At 42.9% G+C, this 24,999-nt stretch overlaps 1 protein-coding gene across 1 annotated transcript, besides 1 other annotated feature; it reads right to left on the bottom strand.

Annotated features, from left to right (window-relative positions):
• Positions 1-136: 136 nt before the first annotated feature.
• Positions 137-24,999, bottom strand: LOC124901866 (uncharacterized). The gene is made up of 4 exons (XM_047422504.1): positions 24,936-24,999; positions 24,524-24,900; positions 9,020-9,228; positions 137-338 (listed from the first exon to the last, which is right to left on the bottom strand). Exons 1-4 carry the CDS (start codon positions 24,997-24,999, stop codon positions 275-277), a joined length of 714 nt encoding a protein of 237 aa, XP_047278460.1. The 3' UTR covers positions 137-274.
• Positions 10,032-10,326: an enhancer, noted in NCBI's record as "tiled region #10847; HepG2 Activating DNase matched - State 8:EnhW". NCBI's record gives its function as "activates a minimal TATA promoter and a strong SV40 promoter by Sharpr-MPRA in HepG2 cells {active_cell/tissue: HepG2}" and the evidence as "EXISTENCE:reporter gene assay evidence [ECO:0000049][PMID:27701403]".

Raw genomic sequence — 24,999 nt, 5'->3', positions numbered from 1 at the left:
GCGATCCTTGTGCCTCAGCCTCCTGTGTAGCTGGGATTACAGGTGTGCATACCCATACCTGGCTAATTTTTGTATTTTCAGTAGAGATGAGATTTCTGTGTTGGCCACGCTGGTCTCGAAATCCTGGCCTCCAGTGATCTCCCACCTTGGCCTCCCAAAGTTTTGGGATTGCAGGCACAAGCTACCACACCCAGCTGCTTACTTTCTCTTGATCAAAACTTGAGGAAGTTCCACTTTCCCCTCCAAGTCCTGCTGCTATATCAGTTGAAGATACTCATTCACCCCACAGAAGTATTGTGCTTTGAATTATGCAAGAGCTGGAGATAAAACGTGGTAAGCTAAGAAAGAGAAAACACACTGTAACTCACTGTGTCTAACCATATATCTTTCTTTTTTTTTTTTTTTTTGAGACGGAGTCTCACTCTGTCACCCAGGCTGGAGTGCAGTGACATGATCTCGGCTCACTGCAACCTCCAACTCCCGGGTTCAAGCGATTCTCCTGACTCAGCCTCCTGAGTAGCTGGAATTACAGGTGCACACCACCACGCCCAGCTAATTTTTGTGTTTTTAGTAGAGATGGGGTTTCACCATGTTGGCCAGGCTGGTCTCGATCTCCTGACCTTGTGATCCACCTGCCTCGGACTCACAAAGTGCTGGGATTACAGGCGTAAGCCATTGTGCCGGGCCTATATGTCTTCTTGATATTTGGTAATCCACGCCATAGTTCTGTCTGATGCCCTTACATGCCTACATTTCCTAGGACACACATACAGCTTTGCCCACCAATTTCCAAAGGTTTCCCATCAGCAATCAAGCAAGATGGAGCCAGGCTGTGACTTAGAGACTGTTCAGATTACCTGGGAGACTTCATCAAATAGAGACGATTTTGTCCCTCCTCATACAGCTAAGTTTGTGTTTGCATCTTAATTTTCAAAACTAAACAATATGATAGCTAGGCGCATATCCCTACATGAAAAATAGATTTTGAAAAGGCAATAAAAAAGAGACAAGTGGGGGCTCCTAATGCACTAAGTTCTATTTCTCAGTGGGGATGATAGATGCAAAAAGCATTTCATTAATAGTAGTATGTTACTTATATGTTGTTAAAAGTTCATTTGTGTATATAATACATTTTACCATTTGTAAAAGTACAGAAGAGAAAAACATTATTTGCAAAAAATTATAAGCCTCTATTTTGCTCTAAATAATATAATTATAAACTTGAATGTTTTATTAAACTATGGCAAAATATAATAATGAGGAGGAAGTTTCCAGGCAGAGGAGGCGGGGGTATACTTCAGGAAATTCGCAGAAAGGGGAGGAGGCTTGAAGGTACCTGCCATGGTACTCGTGGGACCAATAATCAAAGATGCAATGGAAGGCAATAGCCTGTTCCCAGAAAACATTCCTAGTGCGAGAGCAAGCAAGATTAATGGCACGTCTTGGCAAATTTTTGAATTAAAATGATAAAAGATTACAGAATTATCCAGGTGTAAAAATACTAGAACTCTTTTTTCTTTTCTTTTCTTTTCTTTTTTTTTTTGACACAAGGTCCCACTCTGTCACCCAGGCTGGAGTGCAGTGGCACAATCACAACTCACTGCAGCCTCAACCTCTCAGGGCCAAGCGATCCTCCCACCTCGGCCTCCTGAGTAGTTGGGACTACAGGTGTGTGCCACAAGCCCGGCTAATTTCTGTAATTTTTTAGAGATGGGGTTTCATCATGTTGCCCAGGCTGGTCTCAAGCTCCTGGGCTCAAGTGATCTGCCTGCCTCGGCCTTTCAAAATCCTGGGATTACAGACATAGCCATCACACCCAGCAAAAACTAGAACTCTTAAAACAGCAAAAATTAGATAGGCCTCAAATTTATCTGAAATACTAAATTCCAGAAGCCAATAAACAACATTTACAACATTTTGAGGGAAAAAGTTTACACTCTAAGAATTTTATTGTCAACCAAGGTATCTGTCGTTTGTGAGGTAAACAAAAATTCTTAGCTATGCAAGGGCCCATTAAAAAATGTTTGAATAAGTACTCTAGGCAATTGAAAATTATTACATTTAAAATGGAGATTTCATGATGGAATTTTGTAGGGTTTTATTGAAGGCATTTCTTTGGTCATTGTCAAAATCACAAAGCTCAATATTATAGAAACCATATGACAATAGCCCTTAAATTTTAGTGTGTGTGAGAATCCCGAGGAACTCCATAATAATGTAGATTCCTGGGGTCCTTATTTCAGGATTTGACTTTATAGATCTGGGTAGCCTCAGAATCTTCATTTGTACCTCACATTGCAGGGATTCTGAGTAGGTATTAAGAATAACCATATTTTAATGGAAATAGGACAAGATTAAACTGCTAAGTTTCAGTCTTAGTGACAAAACCACTGATATTAAGAAAAGAAAGGGAAATTTCAAGAATATTTAAATTCTGTAATCAGAAGAAGCACTGTGCATCTAAAACATGATGATATTTTCAACTTACGATGGATGTGTGAGGTCATAACCCCACAGTAAGTTGAGGAGTATCTGTACCTTATCAAATGCCAGCACACAGGCTGGAGCATTCATTACCCATTCCTGTCTGAATCAACTATCATTATGGTACTCCTTAAACAATGACTTTAACTTTTTTTTTTTGACACAGAGTCTCACTTTGTTGTCCAGGCTGGAGTGCAATGGCACAATCTCGGCTCACTGCAACCTCCACCTCCCGGGTCCAAGTGATTCTCCTGTCTCAGCCTCCAGAGTAGCAGGATTACAGGCACCTGCCACCAAGCCCAGTTAATTTTTGTATTTTTAGTAGAGATGGGGTTTCACCATGTTGGCCAGGCTGGTCTCAAACTCCTGAGCTCAGGTGATCCACCTGCCTCAGCCTCCCAAAATGCTGGTATTAGAAGCGTGAGCCACCACGCCCAGCCTTAAATGATGATTTTTTCTATTTCCATAATTCCTTCTGTAGTTGACATTCTACTACAAAGAGATGCTTTCCTGTTTAATTTACATATATATATATATATATGTCAGTATGGACTCATGGCTTCCTATTTTATTTGAGGAAATGTAATCCATTTCTATCATTTTTTTAGGGGAGGGGGATGACACAGATTAACCTAGATTTGGCCAAGGGAGTTTCTTCAAGCTGCTTCCTATGTCCTTTTGACATGTTCCCATTATTTTTTTTTTTAGCATTTTCTTACATTCTTGTGCAACAAACTGTTTCAAGCTCATTCTGTCTTTCCCTTGTCCTGGCCCAGGAATTTGCCAGTTCTCTAAGGAGTCCTGGGTCTTTTATTGAAAAATTTTTTTTTTTTTTGAGGTGGAGTCTCACTCTGTCACCCGGGTTGGAGTGCAGTGGCACAATCTTGGCTCACTGCAACCTCAGCCTCCTGGATTCAAGCGATTCTCCTGCCTGTGCCTCCCCAGTAGCTGGGATTACAGGTGTGTGCCACCACTCCTGGCTAATTTTTTAAAAAATTTTTAATAGAGTCAGGGTTTTGCCATGTTGGGTTGGCCAGTCTGGTCTTGAACTCCCGACTTCAAATGATCCACCCGCCTCGGCCTCCCAAAGTGCTGGGATTTCAGGCGTGAGCCACTGCGCCTGGCCTAGTGAAGAATATACTCATTGCTACAGTAGGGTCATTGCTTCTGAGACCTCTCATTAACGGAGATGGAAGACACACACATACACATACTCTATATAAATATTTCCATCTTTATGTATCTTTGCCTATATAAATATGAGTTCACACTGATATCATCAGTTTCAACCCCACACCTCAAGGTTTTTCTCAGCCTTTTATATTTGTAATCTCTTCCTCCACAGTAAAATATCTGCCTTTAATTTTTCCCAATGTAGTTATTTACTTGCATATTTCAATATTCCTATCATTTTATCTCAGTCTCCACGGTCTCTGCTGTCTCCTTGCACAGCCATCTTATTTCCGTTTAAATCTCTGCAGGATCTATGACTTGTTATGTTTATTGAGAGGAAATAACCTTCTCAAAATAATCCAGAGGATGCTCACCTGCTAAAAATTTAGCTCTCCACTGGGAGTGGTAGATGTAATGCCTGTAATCCCAGCCTTTGGGAGGCTCATGCCTGTAATCCCAGCACTTTGGGAGGCCAAGGCAGGTGGATCACTTGAGGCCACGAGTTCGAGACCAGCCTGGCCAATATGATGAAACCCCACCTCTACTAAAAAATTACAAAATTTATCCAGGTGTGGTGGCATACTACAGTAATCCCAGCTACTTGGGAGGCTGAGACATGAGAATCACTTTAGCCCGTGATAAGGAGGTTGCAGTGAGCCAAGATCATGCCCCTGCACTCCAGCCTGGGGGACAGAGTGAGACTGTCTCAAAAAAAAAAAAAAAATAAATAAATAAAAACTTAGCTCTCATTTAACCTCCTAGAGATGTGACTTTCAGCTACAAAATGTGTGATCACACTATTATAAAACATTGAATTAATTTTTCATTCTACAAAATATGTTCATTGAAAAAAATTGGAATTTGTTTACTGACATAAATGAACTCACCAGACTTGTGTTCAGCAATTGTTCATTACATGATTATGTAGAATATTTTATTAGTCAGAAAACACCGGGCTCTCTGGTGTTTTGCTTTCTCTTTCAGCCTGCTCAGTGTAAAATGTATTTTTAGCAGATCCAAACACAAACACAATAGGAAAACTGGTTATATGATACACTTATTAAGTGCTTTCATGATAAAGAAATAATATTATTGCAATTTTAACACCCGTTTGCTGATCAGATCCTTAAAACAGTTCTGTGAGGGTGTGAACGGTGAGGGACGCCTGTAATCCTAGCACTTTGGGGGCCAAGGTGCAAGGATTGCTTGAGGCCAGGAGTTCAAGACCAGTAAGGGCAGCATAGCAAGACCCCATCTCTACAAAAAATTAAACAATTAGTCAAGTGTGGTGGCAGCACCTGTAGTCCCAGCTAACCAGGAGGCTGAGGTGGGAGGATCCCTTTAGCCCAGGAAGTTGAAGCTGCAGTGAGCTATGATCGCACCACTGCACTCCAGCATGTGTGACAAAGCAAGTCCCTGTCTCTAAAAACAGCATACAAAACAAAAACAGTTCTGTGAGTTGTCACGGCAGTTAGGTACTGTGGATCCCACTTTATGGAATAAGAAAGTGAGGCTGCAAGGAATCCGTGACTATCAGTCCAGGCTTTTAAGAGCTGGGAATTGACTGGTCCAATTAGAACTACATTCCCTATTCCAATTCCATCAAACTTTTCAACTTTCAATAGAAAAGACAGTGCAAAGAAAGAGGCTGAATTTATACAACAACAACAAAAATTATGTCTCTCCCAGTCCATGAAAATATTTCAGGTTTAAAAAGCAATAAGCTGGCCAGGTGCCATGGCTCACACCTGTAATCCCAACACTTTGGGAAACCGAGACAGCTGGATCATTTGAGGTTAGGAGTTCCAGACTAGTCTGGCCAATATGGCAAAACCACATCTCTACTAAAAATACAAAAGTTAGCCAGGCATGGTGGTGCGTGCCTGTAGTCTCAGCTACTCAGGAGGCTGAGGCAGAAGGATTGATTGAGCCTGGGAGGTGGAGGTTGCAGTTAGCGGAGATCGTGCCACTGCATTCCAGCCTGGGTGACAGAGTGAAACTGTCTTGAAAAATAAAGTAAAATAAAATAAGCCTTTTTCTGTAAAAAGTCAGCCCTGGAGGAATGGTTCCAAGCGTGTGGACAGCACCACTCAGTTTCCCTACTATACCTGTGGAAGGAAATGATAGTTGCTGTATTTCTAAATAGGTTGACTATTAACATTGCTGCATTCTCCTTCCCAAGAAACACCATGGCCTGATACACTCACTGCGGCCCCATGTGGGGCAAAATTGCTGCCATCCATATCTTTTTTTTTTTTTTTTTTGAGACAGTATCTCACTCTGTCACCCAGGCTGGAGTGCAGTGGTGCAATCACAGCTCACCGCAGCCTCAATTTCCTGGGCTCAAGCGATCCTCCTACCTCAGGCTCTGGAGTAGCTGGGCATGAGCCACCACATCTGGCTGGTTTTTGCTTTGTTCTATTTTTGTTTGTTTTGTAGAGACGGGGGTCTCTCTATGTTGCTCAGGCTGGTCTCGAACTCCTGGCCTTAAACAATCCACCTGCCTCGACCTCACTAAGTGCTGGGATTACAAGCGTGAGCTATTGTGCCCAGCCTTGCCACCCATATCTTTGCTTCCTGTGGCTGAGTTTCAAAGCATCATGAACCTGAAATAAGAGGTCACAAGTTCACTGCTCGGCTTAAGCTGAATGGCAGCTAATCCATTCCAAATAGATGAAAATCTCTTCTACTCTGAAAGTAAGCTAGAAAAGATATCCCACAATATCGAATTCATTAAAGCTCTCTGTGAAAGAAGGATAATGGGTGATCCTTTTGTTTTGGTTCCACTTGCTTATTTCAAACTACCCACATGTTGTGTTTTCTGTTCACAATAGTTAACAATGGCTAACATTTATTGAGCACTGTTCTAAGTGCTCTTCACATATAAAAGATGTAAAAATGAGGCTCCTTCTTTCCCAGTTTGGCTGAGGCATGAGGATAATAGATACTAAATACCAAAGTGAGTTTTCACACAGACCACCCCAGAGGGCTTATAAAGTAGGATTTAGTCAAAAACTAGTTACACAATTTTGGACTACTTCCACTAAGTCAAATACAGTCCTGGCCCGGACACAGTGGCTCACGCCTGTAATCCCAGCACTTCGGGAGGCTGAGGGAGGCAGATCACCTGAGGTCAGGAGTTCAAGACCAGCCTGGCCAACATGGTGAAACCCTTTCTCTACTAAAAATACAAAAATCAGTCAGGCGTAGCGCATGCCTGTAATCCCAGCTACTCAGGAGGATGAGGCAGGAGAATTGCTTGAACCTGGGCGGCGGAGGCTGCAGTGAGCCAAGATCATGCCACTGCACTCCAGCCTGAGCAAAGGAGCGAGACTCCATCTCAAACAAACAAAAACAAAAAAGAAATACAGTCCTGCAGTGAATAATGACTTTTCAGTCAATGACACACTGCACATACGTTGATGGTCCCAAGAGATTATAATATTGTAGCTTTAGTATACCTTTTTTAATATTCAGATATACTTAGATATACAAATACTAATAGTATGGAAATTGCTCACAGTTTTCAGTGCAATCGCATGCTGTGCACGTTCATAGCCTGAGAGCAATAGGCTGTCCCACATGGCCTAGGTGTGTTGTAGGCTAGATCATCTATGTTTGTGTGCGTGCCCTCTATGATGTTCGCACAATGATGAGATCATGTAACAATGCATTTCTCAGAAGTATCCCTGTCATTAAGTGATACATGGCTATATATTAAAAAGTTGAAACTGAGGGAAAAAAATTGAAGAAACTGTGTCTAGAAAGAGGTGCTGTATGGGTCCTTTATCACATGCAGCAATGGGGACTGGTAGGGATGCCTCCTCTTCATGTCAGGTCAAGAGAGACTTTACTAGGACCGAGTAGAGCTTGGTTTGTGTCCCCTGGGAGGTGGAAGCACAGTAGACTACAGTCTGACTTGCATCCAGAGAATCTAGAGGTCAAGAGAGAAGGGCAGTCTGGAAAAGACATTAACAGGGTGAAGGAGAGTTCCTTCTGCACTGAGGTCAGCTTGCACTCCCAAAGTATGTCAGGACAAAAAATTCAAGTGTGGACCATGAGGGAGAGGAGGATGGCTTGGAGCTTGTTTAAACTCTGGTCAAGGGACGCCTGGAAGAACAGGGGTCTTCAACAGAGATTCTGTGCACGGTGGATAGCTACACACACACATGCATGCACGCACGCACACGCACACACACACACACACACACACACACCCACACACACACACACACGGCTGAGAGAAAAGCAACCAGGAGCAAATACATTGCCCTCAACATGGGAAGCACAGTTGAAAGTCACGGTGAAATCTGAAGCACCAGGAAGAAAAGGTCACCTTTAACCATTTGCCAAACCCAGAAAGTGAGAACATAGCCTACAAGAGTGTCACTTAAGGTGAAGGTTTCTGGCCACACCCTAACCTTTTCTGTCCTAACCCAACCTAACCCACTTCAATTGATGAGAAACTATGGTTATCAAATTGGGACTGCAGGGGTAAGGTGACCGTCTAGAAGAGAATCATACCCCCTAAACCTGGCTCCGTAGCAAAAGACCCCAGCTAGGGGGAACTTTCCCTAAAACTGGAAGCTTTTATTATTACATGGGATGTGACATTCTAAATCTAGAAATGAGAGTGTGTTTTGCAACTTAATGTGGTTGTAGAACTTTTTATTACCTAAGGATGGTCAGAAGCATTAGAGAACCACCTGATTTCACATTTAGGGGCAGGAAAAGAGTTTCTCCTGCTGAAGAAATTTTAAATAAACAATGAGAAACAAAATAAAGGTGGTTTCTTATCATGGCCCATGAATATTGCTTATACAACCTTTTGGTCATGTATGAGTTATTGTATTTAATCCCCACAGAAACCCAGTGAGGTAGGTCCATTGTTATCTTCATTTCACAGATGAGGAAATAAAACACAGAGAACTTCAGCAACTTGCCTAAGGCCACACAGACAATAAATGGTAAAGCTGGGATTTGACTACAAGGCTTAAATGCATCATAATACAGTAAGAATATTTTAAAATATATTTCCTGTCTTTGTTCTAGGTTCCAGAGAATCTCCTCCCTACTCGATACTTGTTTTGTGATGCAAACGCCCCTATTTGCATGATCATAATAGTGTGAAATTAGGTGATTCTTTATTAACCTTAAAGCAACCAATCAACCATTAGCAGTGGATGCTCACAACAGCTCTGAGTGATACAGAGAACAGATACAATTATTATTATTCCCCTTATACAGAAAAGGGGGATTTCCCCTTTCAGGAAAACTGAACGCAGAGAGAGAATTAATTCAGGGGATGTTGACAAAGGTGTGGGGTATGCTAGAAGAGCAAAAGAGAGAAGAGGGGTGTTACCCAGAGGGTAGAAGCTGCAGCAGTCCCCGGGCTGGAGCTGCTGAATGTCTGGAGACGTCCCCACTGCTGGGGAGCGGAAGCCAATCCTGTGTCTCCGCTGGAGCCTCAGATGCTTCTCGGGCCCCCTGTTGTATACAGTCACTGGTACCGCTGCCGCTGGAGCCAGAAGTAGGATGGCTTCTCCCTGTCTCGCACCTGCTCATCTTCCCCTGGAGTTAGGGAACATAGGCAATGACACAAAGGAAGGCAGAGAAGGGTGGGAGTTTGGCAGAGAACCAGCAGACACTGTGGCTTGGAGGCAAATGGAGATTTGTTGATAACTAGAGTTAGGGGCAGTCAGGACTAGAAGCCAGGCGTGAAGTTCAGGAGGCCCCAAGGCCACTTTCACTTCAGATACTAACTGCAAGTTCAGGGATCCTCAAGACCACCCACAGATTTGACAATCTGTTGGAAGGACTCACAGAACTCACTGAAAGCTGTTATACTCACAGTTGTGGCTTATCACAGTGAAAGAATGCAAATTTAAATCAGCTGAGGGGGCGGGGCGTGGTGGCTCACACCTGTAATCCCAGCACTTTGGGAGGCCAAGGCAGGCAGATCACCTGAGGTCAGGAGTTCGAGACCAGCCTGGCCAAAATGGTGAAACTTCATCTCTACAAAAACACAAAAAAATTAGCCAGGTGTGCTGGTGGTGGCACATGCTTGTAATTCTAGCTACTTGGGAGGCTGAGGCAGGAGAATTGCTTGAACCTGGGAGGCAGAGGTTACAGTGAGCTGAGATTGCGCCACTGCACTCCAGCCTGGGCGACAAGAGTGAAACTCTGTCTCTAAATAAATAAATAAACTGAGGGAAGAGGCATATGGGGAAGAGTCCAGGAGAGCTCCACGTGCAAAGCTTCCAGTTGTTCTTTCCCAGTGGAGAACTAACTCAGCAGTGATGTGTGAGGATATGCATGAATTGCCACCCAGAGAAGCTCACCTGAGCCTCAATGTCCACAGTTTTTACTGGGGTTCTGTCACATCGACATGGTCAGTTTCCAGCCCTTCCGGAGGCTGAGCTGGAGCTGTGTGGCCCAAAGCCTGCATTATCGATTACATTGTTAGCATAGGTTATGGAGCTTGTTCCAAAGTCCTCAGGTAAACATTCTTATCAAGCAGGATATTCCAGTGGTTTAGAGATTATCTTCCAGGAGCTGAGGGCAAAGGCCAGACCCCTGTATGGGCAAAGTTAATCCTCTCCTGCATATGAGGTCTTCCCCCTCTCAACTTGGTGGTACTTTCAATGCTCTCAAGCTCCTTATTTGATCCTCAAAGCCGCATTATAGCATAGCCAAGGGATGCAAAAAGACAACTAAAAAAAATTCTATCAACTTTGCAGGGCATACAATATTAAGTAATTTCAAGTATAAAGTGTATTTTCAATTAGCATATGAGTTCACTTTTATATAATGTGTAGTAATATTTAAAATATATAGAAACATTTAGTTTTTTTCCCACTTAACAATTGATACATACTATTCATTTAAATCAGGTTGGGCACAGTGGCTTATGCCTGTAATCCCAGCACTTTGGGAGGCTGAGGCAGGTGGATCATTTGAGGTCGGGAGTTCAATACCAGCCTGGCCAACATGGCAAAACCCCATCTCTACTAAAAATACAAAAATTAGCCAAGCATGGTGGCACATGCCTGTAATCCCAGCTACTCAGGAGGCTGAGGCATGATCACTTGAACCCGGGAGGTGGAAGTTGCGGTGAGCCGAGATGGCGCCACTGCACTCCAGCTAACAGTGACAGTCCATCCAGAATAATTAATTAATTAATTAAGTAGCAAAAACATGCTTTATAAACAAATTAATTCAAGAAGAATATATATGATATTTAGCCTTAGGATCAAACATATATTAAAAACTGGTTTAAAATTTAAAATTGCATACTACTGTATAAACAGATTGCCTTTAGCACATTAAATAGGAAATTCACTTACTATAATTTCCATGTTTTGTTTCTAAGTTATCAATTCAGAGGAAATATTTCAAGCTTCTAAATACAGGTATTTCTGTGCAAACAACGTATTTCAGGTGCTAATGTTTACTTTTGATAAATAAGAAGTCAAATTAAATTTAATAGGCACCATATTTTCTCTCTTAATATATTTTGAAGTACAAGAAGTATTTTGTTGTGCTAAATAACACTTTTGTTGAGATGAATACAACATACAAACTGCAAATATCTCCTTGAAATAAATTTGCATAATTATTATCATTTTAATAATCCTCAGCAAGTTGTTGGATTTTGACATCTGTATGCTTCTTACCTTTAACGAATGATGTTGATATGAATTTTAAAACAAGAAAGTGAGAATAAAATAACTTTATATGTATGGTTGGAGTATTTTTTAAGCTTCTATAACAAAAATACCATAAAATGCATGGCTTAAAGATCATAAGGTTTATTTCTCTCTTATTTAACGTCTGTAGGTGAGTGGTTTCATTGAGGGTGAGATCTGTTCCGCATGTATTCTGAGAGCCAGTTGTTCTGCCATCCCATGAGACAGAATGACTAGAAAAAAGAAACCATGTTGCTTCTTAAGTTTTTTGTGACAAGGTCCCCTTTGACAGTCTGGTGAAGCTTATGGACTATCTCAGAATAATTTTTTTCTTTTTATCATTATTATTATTATTTAATACAGATAAGGTCTTGCTATGTTGACCAGGCTGGTCTCAAACTCCTGGCCTCAAGTCATCCTCCCATGTCGGCCTCCCATAGTGCTTGGATTACAGGTGAGAGCCACCATGCCTAGCCTCAGAATAATTTTTTCAAAGATATAAAAGAAAATGTATAGGATTATAAAAGATAGCAATTATATTGAAATATATTCATCACAATGCTTATAAAGCAAATGTGTGAATTACTAATATATTTGCTTCTTTATTAATACATTAAATAGAAAGATCTAGTAGGGTCAAATTGTCTCGTATCACAATTTCAAACTGGTGAAGAGCACAAATAATATTTTGAGATATCTTCAGCTGAAATGTGAAATAAAAATACCTTTCTATTGGTCACAAAGTTACCTGTACTCTTAATACTGTGGTTACTTTCCTGTATTCATAATTGAAAAACACAATTTCAGTTAGAGTTAAATTGAAATGAAGACTTTTTTTCCCTGATTTAACTTCATTAACCCACATGGTTTATATCCCCAAATTCCTTGAGTATTCATAAAACCCTGATTAACAGCTCCTGGGCTGGGCACGGTGGCTCATGCCTGTAATCCCAGCACTTTGGAAGGCTGAGGCAGGCAGATCACTTGAGGTCGGGAGTTTGAGGCCATCCTGGCCAATGTGGCAAAACCCTGTCTCTACTAAAAATACAAAAATTAGCTGGCCGTGGTGGTGCGAGCCTATAATCCCACCTACTTGGGAAGCTGAGGCAGGAGAATCTCTTGAACCCAGGAGGTGGAGGTTGCGGTGAGCTGAGATCAAATCACTGCACTCCAGCCTGGGTGAAAGAGCGAGACTCCATCTAAAAAAAAAAAAAAATAACAAAAAAACAAAACAAAAAAACTGACCTAGGGCTATGAATTAATCTACATAATCAAAGTCAAGCAGCAAACATAGCTATTTTCTGATTCAAGAAAGGGAAAAAATGAAAATCTGTAACAATTTGGGGGGAAGTAAAGGCCAAGTTTTGGGGAGTGTTTTAAGGAAGTAAGACCAAAAAAGAATTTTTTTTTTTTTTGAGATGGAGTCTCACTTTGTTGCCCAGGCTGGAGTGCAGTAGAGTGATCTCGGCTCACTGCCACCTCCACCTCCCGGGTTCAAGTGAATCTCCTGCCTCAGCCTCCCCAGTAGCTGGGATTACAGGCGTGTGCCACCACGCCTGGCTAATTTTTGTATTTGTAGTAGAGATGGGGTTTCACCATGTTGGACAGACTGATCTTGAAGTCTTGAGCTCAAGTGATCCACCTGCCAGCTTCAGCCTCCCAAAGTGTTGGGATCATAGGCGTGAGCCACTGAGCCCGGCTGAAATCAAAATTTCGTGCATTATTTCCTCTCACAATTCACTGATGAAAACTTAGCTGGATGGCCACACCTAGCTGTAAAAAAGGCTGGGGTAGGCAGGGTGTGATGGCTCATACCTATATTCACAGCACTTTGGATGCCTGAGGTGGGACGATCACTTGAGAACAGGAGTTCAAGACCAGCTCGGGCAAAAACCACATATCTGCAAAAAAATCTAACAACCAGCCAGGCGTGGTGGTGTGTGCCTGTAGTCCCAGCTGCTTGGGAGGCTGATGTGGAGGGATCGTTTAAGCCAGTAGGTTGAGGCTTCAGTGAGCCATGATTGCACCACTGCACTCTAGCTTGGGTGAAAAAGCAAGACCCTGTCAGAAGAAGGAGAAGGAGAAGGAGGGGGAGAAGGAGAACAAGGGGGAAGAGAAGGGGTTGGGGAGGGTGAAGGGGGAGGGGAGGTGAAGGGGAAAGGGAGGAGGGAGGAGGGAGGAAAAGAAGGAGGAGGAGGAGAAGAAGAAGACTGGGAAATACAATTTTTAGCTGGCTCACCATTTTCTAATGAAGAAGGGGAAAATGGATGTGGGGTGACAACAAGCAGCCTGCCATGCTCCATGGTAGTCAGAGACAACATGGTGGGCTGTTGTGCTCAGCTGGTGCTAACTCAATAGAGTGACCGTGTCATCAGCCTTTTTATCTGATCCCCCAATTGCTCCATATGGTTAGTTGGTACATACTCAAAGGCTCTCAGGTGAGAGACATTTGTCAAGATCACCTCTAAAACTAGAGAGTGAAAGAGTTGCCATGATACCCTCTTAAAATCCCAGGTATCCACATACTTCTGAGAAATGTTGCCCTCAACCAAACAGAAAGGCACGAGACCCTGGAGACAATATGTCCTAGCACTGACCCCTAGGGGACACACCACGTTCTTCTCTCCACCTGTTCTGCAGCCCAGCTCTCCCCTCACTGCACCGTTTAGGGGCAGGAACGCGGATCTGTAGGGGTCAGAGGCCAGGGCATTTGTTTCCACTGTCACGGGGGTGAGGTCTCTGTGTTTGTGATTCAGACATTTGGGGGATTTGCTTTCTCTTCCATAACGCTGGCCCAAAACTGCATCTGTTTGGGGGTTGCTGCATCCCAGGAAGCAGGGTGGTGGAGAAACCACGGATAGGTGGGTGGTGGCGAAACCACGGATAGGTGGTTGGTGGCAGATGGGGGAGTACTGGCAAGTTCCCAAGTGCAGAGGTAGCGATGCCTGCATCAGCAACCACTATCTCGTGCCAGCATCAGCCATGGTGAGCATTGTGGTCTTGTGTCCAATGCCCACTGCACTGGTGTCCTCACTGACTGACTTCTGCTCCTGCCTGCCACCAAAGCTTTGACTTTAAGCCTGCTTCTCCCATCTGCTCAGCACGAGCCGGAGCTCCTGAATAGCCTTCTGCTAAATTTCTTCCTTCCAAAGTTATTGGAGTTGGATTCTGTTGCTCACAAATAAGATTCCTGACAGATAACAGTTTGAGGGGATTAGAGACACTCCAATCTAGCTCTCAGGAGGAAGCGTATTCCTTCTTTTTCCTTGGATTTGTCTTATTACATTGAGCTGTTCACGAGGCTGTGGCTTGCGCTGGGCTTAGAGGAAAGGGAGTCTAAGACGCCGTTCATCCCACTTTTACTGGTGCAGCTCCTTGAGCCTATCTCTATCCAGGCGAAATGAATCCTTCACATCATTTACCCCAGCTCACAACTCTCTGGAGGCTTAGAGCGAAAGCCTAATCATAGCAATGACAGCCAGCTTTGTCTGCTCTCATTCTCCCTCGCACCACCCCCCTCCCCACGTTTGGAAAGGATTTAAGTGATTAGGAGCCTGGCTCTCCCAGACGCTTCTTTCCATCTGAGCTCCACAGATCACTTTATCACCTTTCACCAAACTGGTAGACTGTGCGTTATACAAGAAGACAATCTGAGTCCATTTTGTGGAGCGCTTGGGGCCAGAAAGTGCTGGCTACACAAGTCTGGAATTAGTATTTATAGAGCATAAATCAACAGAAATTATAGACATGGAATATTCTGAGAGAAAATAAATAAAAGCTAGTATGGGCTTTTGTGGAGGAGGATTAACAAGACGCGGTTCAAGGCTGGGAATGCCAGAAAAAGACTGGGGACAGATCCAGTTATGAACATGGAAATCCATGAAACTGCCTCCCCCAATCTATGTTCAAAGGAAAAGCTCTCAGCAAATATAAAATGATTTTTAAAAAATTTTTTGCTTTGAATTTCAGAATTTGCACTTATTTATGGAGGCAAATATGTTGTATATAAACTTCTAATCCAATGTTTTTATTCTCTAAAATGACAATGAGGATGATGACGAAACACCAGTCATTTACTGGGCACTTTGTTTGTTTGTTTTTGAGAAGGAGTATTGCTCTGTCGCCCAGGCCGGAGTGCAGTGGCATAATCTTGGCTCACTGCAACCTCTACCTCCCGAGTTCAAGCAATTCTCCTGCCTCAGTCTCCCAAGTAGCTGGGACTACAGGTGTGCACAGCCACGCATGGCTAATTTTTGTATTTTTAGTAGAGATGGGATTTCACCATGTTGGCAAGGACGATCTTGATCTCCTGACCTTGTGATCCACCCGCCTTGGCCTCCCAAAGTACTGAGATTACAGGCATGAGCCATAGTGCCCAGCCTAATTTTTGTATTTTTAGTAGAGGCGGGGTTTTGCCATGTTGGTCAGGCCGGTCTTGAACTCTTGACCTTGGTGATCCGCCCACCTCGGCCTCCCAAAATGCTGGGATTACAGGCATGAACCACCGTGCCCAGCCAACTGTTTTTTTTTTTTTTTTGGGGGGGATGCAGTCTCTCTCTGTCTCCCAGGCTGGAATGCAGTGGCACGATCATGGCTCACTGCAGCCTCAACCTCCTGGGCTCAAACGAACCTACTGCCTCAGCTTCCCAAAGCGCTGGGACCACATGCATGAGCCACTATGCCTTGGGCCTGTCTGTTGGGCACTGTCAAGCACCATGCTAAGTGATTTACACATACTAGCTCATTTAATCTTCACACCTGTATATGGCTGGTGCTATAGTTTCCCTCCTTTTAAAGATGACACTGAGTCTTAGATAAGATAGCCAGCTCAACATCATATAACTAGTTAATATCTCAGGACTTAGCCTCCTTTTTTCCCAGCACTTATATGTATTTAATTACTTTCTGGAAGCGCCCAGTGGGAAAATGTTCACTCTTCTTTTGTTTCCAGCTGCCAGATTGGTATTCTCCACCCCAAATGCACATTAGAATCACCTTATCAGCCTTTAAAAATTTTTGATGCCAGGGTCATGCACTCGGTCAATTAAGTCAGAATACCATGCGTGTATTTCACTGTAGAGCAAGTTAAGCTAACTACTGGATTAGGATGGAAAAAGAAAATGAAACGGCCATTGCATTGAAACTACAATGGTAAATTCCTGGTTAGGAGAGTGGGGATTAGAGCCACTAGGGGATAAGGACTACAGAATCTGCTTTTAGCTCCAATAAGCAAGAGGTTAAGTGGAGGAAGCAATGCATTAAACAAACGCGGAGTCGCTTCTCTTTTTCATAATGTGTCTCACAAGCACTGAATTTGAAGGGAGAAAACAATGAAAATTTAGGGGTAATTCTCAAAAATAATCTCCCTGGGGACAGATAGTACACAAAAGCAAGGACATAAGACTAATAAAACCATTGCTAACATTTATCAAGAAAAAAAGAACACCATAGGAATGGGCCCTGGCATTCATATTTTATAAAGTCTTCCCGAGAGATTCTGTCGTGCAGCCAAGGTTGAGAATGATTGCCTCATCTCCTTCCTCGCAATCCAGTTTTCCTACCCTGCACATCTCCACTTTGCTATTTGGTATATGGCATACAGCATCTGCCTATGAGTTATGGGATTGCCAGACAAGCAAACGGCATGCAGCCCTGCAGAAGGGATACTGTCCTCAAGCTAGCTTGCAACGGTTTCTACAGGCGGGCAGCTGTTCGAAGTTGAAGAGATGGGATACTGGATCCCATCCCACCCATTTCATTCAGCTCATCCCTGGACATGTATTTCCTGCAGTGTTATTCCCCGTGGCTGAGCTTCTAAGAGCTCCTGCACCTGCACTTGGGGCCAGCTCAGTTATAAAATGCCTAGAAAACTTTTGGAGACTTTGCTCTTTTTCTCTGTGAATAAACTCATCATTTCAATGCCAAGCTTCTCATTGGGATTAGTTTACCAGCTTTAGACTTTTTTGTTTCTTTTTTCTTTTTTTTTTTTAGACGGAGTTTCATTCTTGTCACCCAGGCTGGAGTGAAATGGTGTGATCTCAGCTCACTGCAACCTCCACCTCTCGGGTTCAAGCAATTCTCAGACTTCCAAGTAGTTGGGATTACAGGCACCTGTCACCATGACAGGCTAATTTTTGTATTTTTAGTAGAGACGCGTTTTCACCATGTTGGCCAGGCTGGTCTTGAACTCCTGACCTCAGGTGATCCAACTACTTTGGCCTCCCACAATGCTGGGATTACAGGTGTGAGCCACTATGCCTGGCTCGGCTTTTGACTTTTAAGTGAGTCTGGTTTTTCAGCAACTTCACCTTCCTTCTTGGACTCAAATCTCAAGTCAGTGAATAAAATTCATAATGTTCCTGTTGGAGAAAGAGTTATATCTTTTTCTTTTTCTTTTTTTTTGCTAGGCAGGGTCTTGCTTTGTCACCCAGGCTTGAGTGCAGTGGCGTGATCATGGCTCAAAGCAGCCTCGCTCTTTAGCTCAATCAGTCTTCCTGAGGTAGAACAATAGGCCCTGGAAGGAAAACCCTAACTTTCCACACCTAAGTGACAAGGACCAGAGGCTACTCCCTTTGCAAACCCGTCTTTTCTGCTCGGGCAGATGGGAAATTGAAAGTACCTCTGATTGCAACCAATCAGACGTTTGCATAGGAGTGTAACTTTGAAACTTTACTTTAGCCTCTGACTGTTAGCTTTCCAAGACCAATCTCTGATTGCCAGCCAAGTCTTGGTTTGCATAGAAGAGCAACTTTGTAACTTCGCTTTACCCTCTGATTGTTAGCTTTGCGAGACCAATCAGATGTGTGCATAGGAGTGTGACCTTTGTAACTTCACTTCAGCCTCTGATCGGTTACTGTCCGTAACCAATCACACTGATTGTGAGCCACCGCTCCATTTACATGAGGTGAACACCAAGTGGCCAATGGGAAACCTCTAGGGGGTATTTGAACCCAAGAAGATTCTGCATCTGGGCCCTTGAGCTGCTGCTCCAACTGCTCCCACACTGCGAAGTGTACTTTTACTTTCAATAAATCTCTGCTTTCTTTGTTTCATTCTTTCCTTGCTTTGCTGTGCATTTTGTCCAATTCTTTGTTCAAAAATGCCATTAACCTGGACAACTTGCAGGCAAGACCCTCTATGAATAAGTACAGCTCAGCCTCCTGGGAGTACAGTCACATGCCCTATGCCCAGCTAATTTACAAAATTTTTGGTAGAGACTGGGTGTTGTTATGTTGCTCAGGCTGCTCTTGAACTCCTGGGCTCAATCAAGCAATCCTCCCATCTCAGCATACCAAAGTGTTGAGATTACAAGCATGAGCCACCACACCCAACCAAGTTCCATCTTTTAGAACAGTGGTTTTTAAAGTAGGATTTTTTTTTTCACAATATTGGGGTAGCACTGTTGGCATGGGACAGTTCTGTCAAATTCTGAATATCCCAACAGATGTTTGTGTAAGAAAAACAAACTAAGCACCCTATGTATAATTATCTGCATCTAGACCTCAACTCTATTTTACATATAAACACGAAATGTGTTTTGTGTAATTTTAATATACAACAAATTTCCACACATGCAACTACAATGTGAAAAGAAGGAAGATTATACTTTGTTTTGCTTGCTTTACTGACAGCTGTTTGCCATTTTAGAGAATATCATTGCTGATTTGGGATATTTTACTTGCCAATATGAGGCACTTCCATGGTGATTCTATGACATTTAAGGGCAATCATCTGTCTAATTCTTCATGTCTTCTCTCGTGGGGTCCCTGTACTATGTCATTATTCATCACTTTCCTTTTAGTCCTTTATTTCTTAGAGCATTGTATTGATTATTTTAACAATTATGTTGTAGGTAAATGATATTAACTAAGAATTGCATTTCAGAATTGTTAAGGAGGTGTTAAGGATATTTGTTACATGGCAAACACATGAAAAGATGCTCCACCTCATATATCATCAGGGAAATGCAAATGAAAACAACGAGATATTACAACACACGTATTAGAATAGCCAAAATCTTGAACACTGACAACACCAAATGTTGGTGAGGATGTGGAGCAACTGGAATTCTTCCACAGTGTTGGTGGAAATGCAAAATGATACAGACAATTTGGAAGACAGTTTGGAGGCTTCTTACTAATGTAAACCTAATCGTACTCTTGTCATATGATCCAGCAATCATAGTTCTTGTATTTACCCAAATGAGTTGAAAACTTATGTCCACACAAAAACCTGCACGCGAATGCTTATAGCAGCTTTATTCATAAATGCCCAAACTCGGATATGACCAAGATGTCCTTCAGTAAGTGAATGTGTGAAAAAACTGTGGTACATCCAGACAATGGAAAATTTTTAGCGCTAGAAAGATATGAGCCCTCAAGCCATGAAAGGGCAGAAAGGAAACCTACAATGTATATTATTAAGTGAAAGACGCCAATCTGCAAAGGCTCTATACTGTATGATTCCAACTATATGACAGTCTGGAAAAGGCATAACTATGGAGACAGTGAAAAGATCAGTGTTTGCCAGGGGTTGGTGGGGAGGGAGGAATGAATAGATGGATCTCAGAGGATTTTTAGGGCAGTGGAACTACTCGGTATGATACTATAATGGTGGATACATGTCAGTAGACATTGGTCATACCCATAGTATGTACAGGAGTGAACCATAAGTAAATCACAGATTTTGGGTGATAATGATGTGTCAGTGCAGCATCACCAATTGCAACAACGTACCACTCTGACTGGGGATGTTGATAATAGGGGAAGCTATGTGTAGGGGAAGCTATGTGTATGGGAAATCTCTGTACCTACATTCTACTCAGTTTTGCTGTGAACTTAAAACTGCTCTTAAAAATAAAGACTATTTTTTAAAAATTAACCATAGTAGGTATTACTGAAAAATTTGCTTATAAAAAGTGAGCATGGGCCAGGCTCCGTGGCTCACGCCTGTAATCCCAGCACTTTGGGAGGCCAAGGTGGGTGGATCACAAGATCAGAAGTTTCAGACCAGCCTGGCCAACGTAGTGAAAACTGGTCTCTACAAAAAGTACAAAAAATTACCCAGTCGTGGTGGTGGGCACCTGTAATCCCAGCTACTTGGGAGGCTGAGGCAGGAGAATCGCTTGAACCTGACAGGCGGAGGTTGCAGTGAGCCAAGATCATGCCATTGCACTCTAGTCCAGGCAACAGTGTGAGACTCCATCTCAAAAGAAAAAAAAAAAAAGAAAAAAAGGAAAGATGATTGGTGCATGCCTGTTGCTATAGGGGAGGCCGAGAACTCAAGGAGGATCCCTTGAGGTCAGGAGTTCAAGGCCACAGTGCAGTCTGATGGTGCCAGTATTGAATAGTCACTGCAGTCTAGCCTGGGCAACATAGCAAGACTCTGTCTCCAAAAAAAAAGGAAGAAAAATGGTGAGCATTGGGTCTGATAGTGTTACAAGTCTTTAGAAGGAAATAAAGCCTTGCTTTTTAGGCTGGATCCAGAGGAATCCTAAACGTCAACTCTATATTTAATATAAGAACTTCAGATAGGCCGAGTGAGGTGACTCACTCCTGTAATCCCAACACTTTGGGAGGTTAAAGTGAGTGGATATCAAACCCTGTCTCTACTAAAAATACAAAAATTAGCTGGGCGTCATGGCATGTGCCTATAATTCCAGTTACGGGGGAGGCTGAGGCAGGAGAGTCACTTGAACCCAGGAGGTGGAGGTTGCAGTGAGCTGAGATTGTGCCACTGCACTCCGGCCTTGGGGACACAGCCAGACTCCATCTCAAAACAAAAGAAAAGAAATCATACTGAATGGACAAAAACTGGAAGCATTCCCTTTGAAAACTGGCACAAGACAGGGATGCCCTCTCTCATCACTCCTATTCAACATAGTGTTGGAAGTTCTGGCCAGGGCAATCAGGCAGGAGAAGGGAATAAAGGGTATTCAATTAGGAAAAGAGGAAGTCAAATTGTCCCTGTTTGCAGATTACATGATTGTATATCTAGAAAACCCCATCATCTCAGCCCCAAATCTCCTTAAGCTGAAAAACAAATTCAGCAAACTCCCAGGATACAAAATCAATGCGCAAAAATCACAAGCATTCTTATACACCAATAACAGACAAACAGAGAGCCAAATCATGAGTGAACTCCCATTCACAATTGCTTCAAAGAGAATAAAATACCTAGGAATCCGACTTACAAGGGATGTGAAAGACCTTTTCAAGGAGAACTACAAACCACTGCTCAATGAAATAAAAGAGGATACAAACAAATGGAAGAACATTCCATGCTCATGGGTAGAAAGAATCAACATCTTGAAAATGGCCATACTGCCCAAGGTAATTTATAGATTCAATGCCATCCCCATCAAGCTACCAATGACTTTCTTCACAGAATTGGAAAAAAACTACTTTAAAGATCATACGGAACCAAAAAAGAGCCCGCATTGCCAAGTCAATCCTAAGCCAAAAGAACAAAGCTGGAGGCATCACGCTACCTGACTTCAAACTATACTACAAGGCTACAGTAACCAAAACAGCATGGTACTGGTACCAAAACAGAGATATAGACCAATGGAACAGAACAGAGCCCTCAGAAATAATGCCGCATTATCTACGACTATCTAATCTTTGACAAGCCTGATAAAAACAAGCAATGGGGAAAGGATTCCCTATTTAATAAATGGTGCTGGGAGAACTGGCTAGCCATATGTAGAAAGCTGAAACTGGATCCCTTCCTTACACCTTATACAAAAATTAACTCAAGACAGATTAGAGACTTACATGTCAGACCTAAAACCATAAAAACCCTAGAAGAAAACCTAGGCAATACCATTCAAGACATAGGCATGGGCAAGGACTTCATGTCTAAAACACCAAAAGCAATGGCAACAAAAGCCAAAATTGACAAATGGGATCTAATTAAACTAAAGAACTTCTGCACAGCAAAAGAAACACCATCAGAGTGAACAGGCAACCTACAGAATGGGAGAAAATTTTTGCAACCTACTCATCTGACAAAGGGCTAATATCCAGACTCTACAATGAACTCAAACAAATTTACAGGAAAAAAACAAACAACCCCATCAAAAAGTGGACAAAGGATATGAACAGATACTTCTCAAAAGAAGACATTTCTGCAGCCAAAAAACACATGAAAAAATGCTCATCATCACTGGCCATCAGAGAAATGCAAATCAAAACCACAATGAGATACCATCTCACACCAGTTAGAATGCCAATCATTAAAAAGTCAGGAAACAACAGGTGCTGGAGAGGATATGGAGAAATAGGAACACTTTTACACTGTTGGTGGGACTGTAAACTAGTTCAACCATTGTGGAAGTCAGTGTGGCGATTCCTCAGGGATCTATAACTAGAAATACCATTTGACCCAGCCATCCCATTACTGGGTATATACCCAAAGGATTATAAATCATGCTGCTATAAAGACACATGCACACGTATGTTTATTGTGGCCCTATTCACAATAGCAAAGACTTGGAACCAACCCAAATGTCCAACAATGATAGACTGGATTAAGAAAATGTGGCACATATATACCATGGAATACTATGCAGCCATAAAAAAGGATGAGTTCATGTTCTTTGTAGGGACATGGCTGAAGCTGGAAACCATCATTCTCAGCAAATATCGCAGGGACAAAAAACCAAACACCGCATATTCTCACTCATAGGTGGGAATTGAACAATGAGAACACATGGACACAGGAAGGGGAACATCACACACAGGGGACTGTTGTGGGGTGGGGGGAGGGGGGAGGGATAGCATTAGGAGATATACCTAATGCTAAATGACGAGTTAATGGGTGCAGCACACCAACATGGCACATGTATACATATGTAACAAACCCGCACGTTGTGCACATGTACCCTAAAACTTAAAGTATAATAATAAAAAGAAAAGAAAAGAAAAAAAAACCTAGAAAGGAACCATGAGGCACCACTTGAAGCTTAAATGAGGTGGTTTTATGATGTTGAGGGGTATAGAAAATCATTCCTCAAAATATGGCACCTGAGCACGCTGGGCGCTTTTGAAAGCTGAGCGGCCTCAGAAATAAGCCTCAGAATGAAGGTCCCTCTAACCTTGTCTTGTGCCTCCCCAAACCACAAGGGCAGGGACTATTCCTGGAACATCCTTATCTGACCAAGAGAGCTTACCAAAAGAAACATAAATGCTTTCTATGCCCTCCCTGGAATCTCATTATCTCAGAAAAAAAGCCTGACGAATGTGACCACACCTGACAGACATTTTCCCGAGATAATGTCTGCCTCTCAGGCCCATTCAGATTCCAAAGAGAATCACTTACAATTTCATTTCGGTCTCTGTGGTCCATTCATTCTCCCTAATCATGACTTACTGCCTCTCAAAAGAGAGAACTTAAAACTGGGCAACTGAGTGATACTCTGTCTCAAAAAAACAAAAAAGAACTTAAGATAAACTTCAGTGTATAAAATGTCCATGTGTTTCCCAAACAGTGCCTTCTCTGAAGTACAAAGTTTCAAAAGTTATATAATTATATTCTATACTATACATACGATATATAATTACATATACATCCTACAGTATATTCATTGGACACATACATAGATATAAACAAAGATCAAGAATAATGCAATTGTTTGCAAATGAGCTAAGATGGAATGCTTTCCTTTCCACGTAACTGTTTTTAAGAAGCATTAACTCTGAATGCCAATATTTCCTTCTAACTCAAAAAAGAAGAGCATACTTTAAAAAATGTTCAGTAGAAGATGCACAAAACTTCACCATGAAAGCATCGTCGTCATACTGGCTTTTCTTCAATGCCTCCTCATCAGACCCTACTTTCCTAGGCCCTAAAAGGACATCCACACCCATGACTCTAGCGCCTGGCTTTCTTGGGAGGTTTCTTCTCCCGACCCTGGTGAAGCCTGATCTTGTTTTGTAGCAGTTGCCATAGGAGCAGCCCGTGTTGCAGGGCGACTCCATCCCTAAACAAATACATGCAAATAGCTGGGAAAGCAGACTTCAGCCTTAATACTTCAGACACCAAGGAATGGAAACGATCTATGTAATTTAAATAGAATAAATGCCACTGGCCCCAAGGGAAGTGTGTGTTTATTTTTAAACACGATGCACCGCGACCCAGGCTTCCTGCACCACTGACTGAGCTTTCTGAGCCGGTACCTGCGTCTGTTGCACGGCGGGTTTAAGAACCTGAGCTGGCCAGAGGAGTTGGGGAAACAAACTAGCCCTGGTCCGGGCTTCTCTTCCTAGTGTCCTGGTCGCCTGCTCCTGAAGCGGTGAGCCACGGCCGCCGTTCGCACCCCGGGGCCGGGAGCTGCCAAAGGTGCTGGAGCTCAGACCCGCTTGCTCTGCGCCCGGCGCTCTGGCAGAACCCCAAGGCTGGGCGGACGGGTGGAGCCAGGCTCCGTGTCCGCGCTGATCGCCACCGCAGCACGCGGGATGTACCTGTCCTGCCCTTGCGCCCTGGAAGGGCGCTGGAGAGCGCACGAGGCCTGCGCTTTCCAAGGACTTGTGGGCGGACGAGGGCGCGCCAGTTCCTCAGCCCGCCTGGTTCCTTTCCAAGAGCCAGGACGACAGAGGGAGGACCCGCGCCAGCTCCAAGACGGCTCTGCAAACTGGACAGTGAAGGAAAGCAT

Source organism: Homo sapiens, chromosome 8 (assembly GCF_000001405.40).
Source record: "Homo sapiens chromosome 8, GRCh38.p14 Primary Assembly".
In the NCBI taxonomy this organism is placed as follows: domain Eukaryota; kingdom Metazoa; phylum Chordata; class Mammalia; order Primates; family Hominidae; genus Homo; species Homo sapiens.
The sequence above is the reverse complement of the archived record's forward strand: the minus strand, read 5'-3'. Positions and strand labels throughout refer to the sequence as shown.

Bases quoted from the DNA above. Each gene is read 5' to 3' on its own strand.
- LOC124901866 (XM_047422504.1), bottom strand. From the start codon at position 24,999: ATGCTTTCCTTCACTGTCCAGTTTGCAGAGCCGTCTTGGAGCTGGCGC. The intron at 24,901-24,935 runs GTCCTGGCTCTT...AGGCGGGCTGAG, and splicing joins GCGCGGGTCCTCCCTCTGTC to GAACTGGCGCGCCCTCGTCC. The intron at 339-9,019 runs GTAACACCCCTC...TCTCTTTCTTAG, and splicing joins CTGCAGCTTCTACCCTCTGG to CTTACCACGTTTTATCTCCA.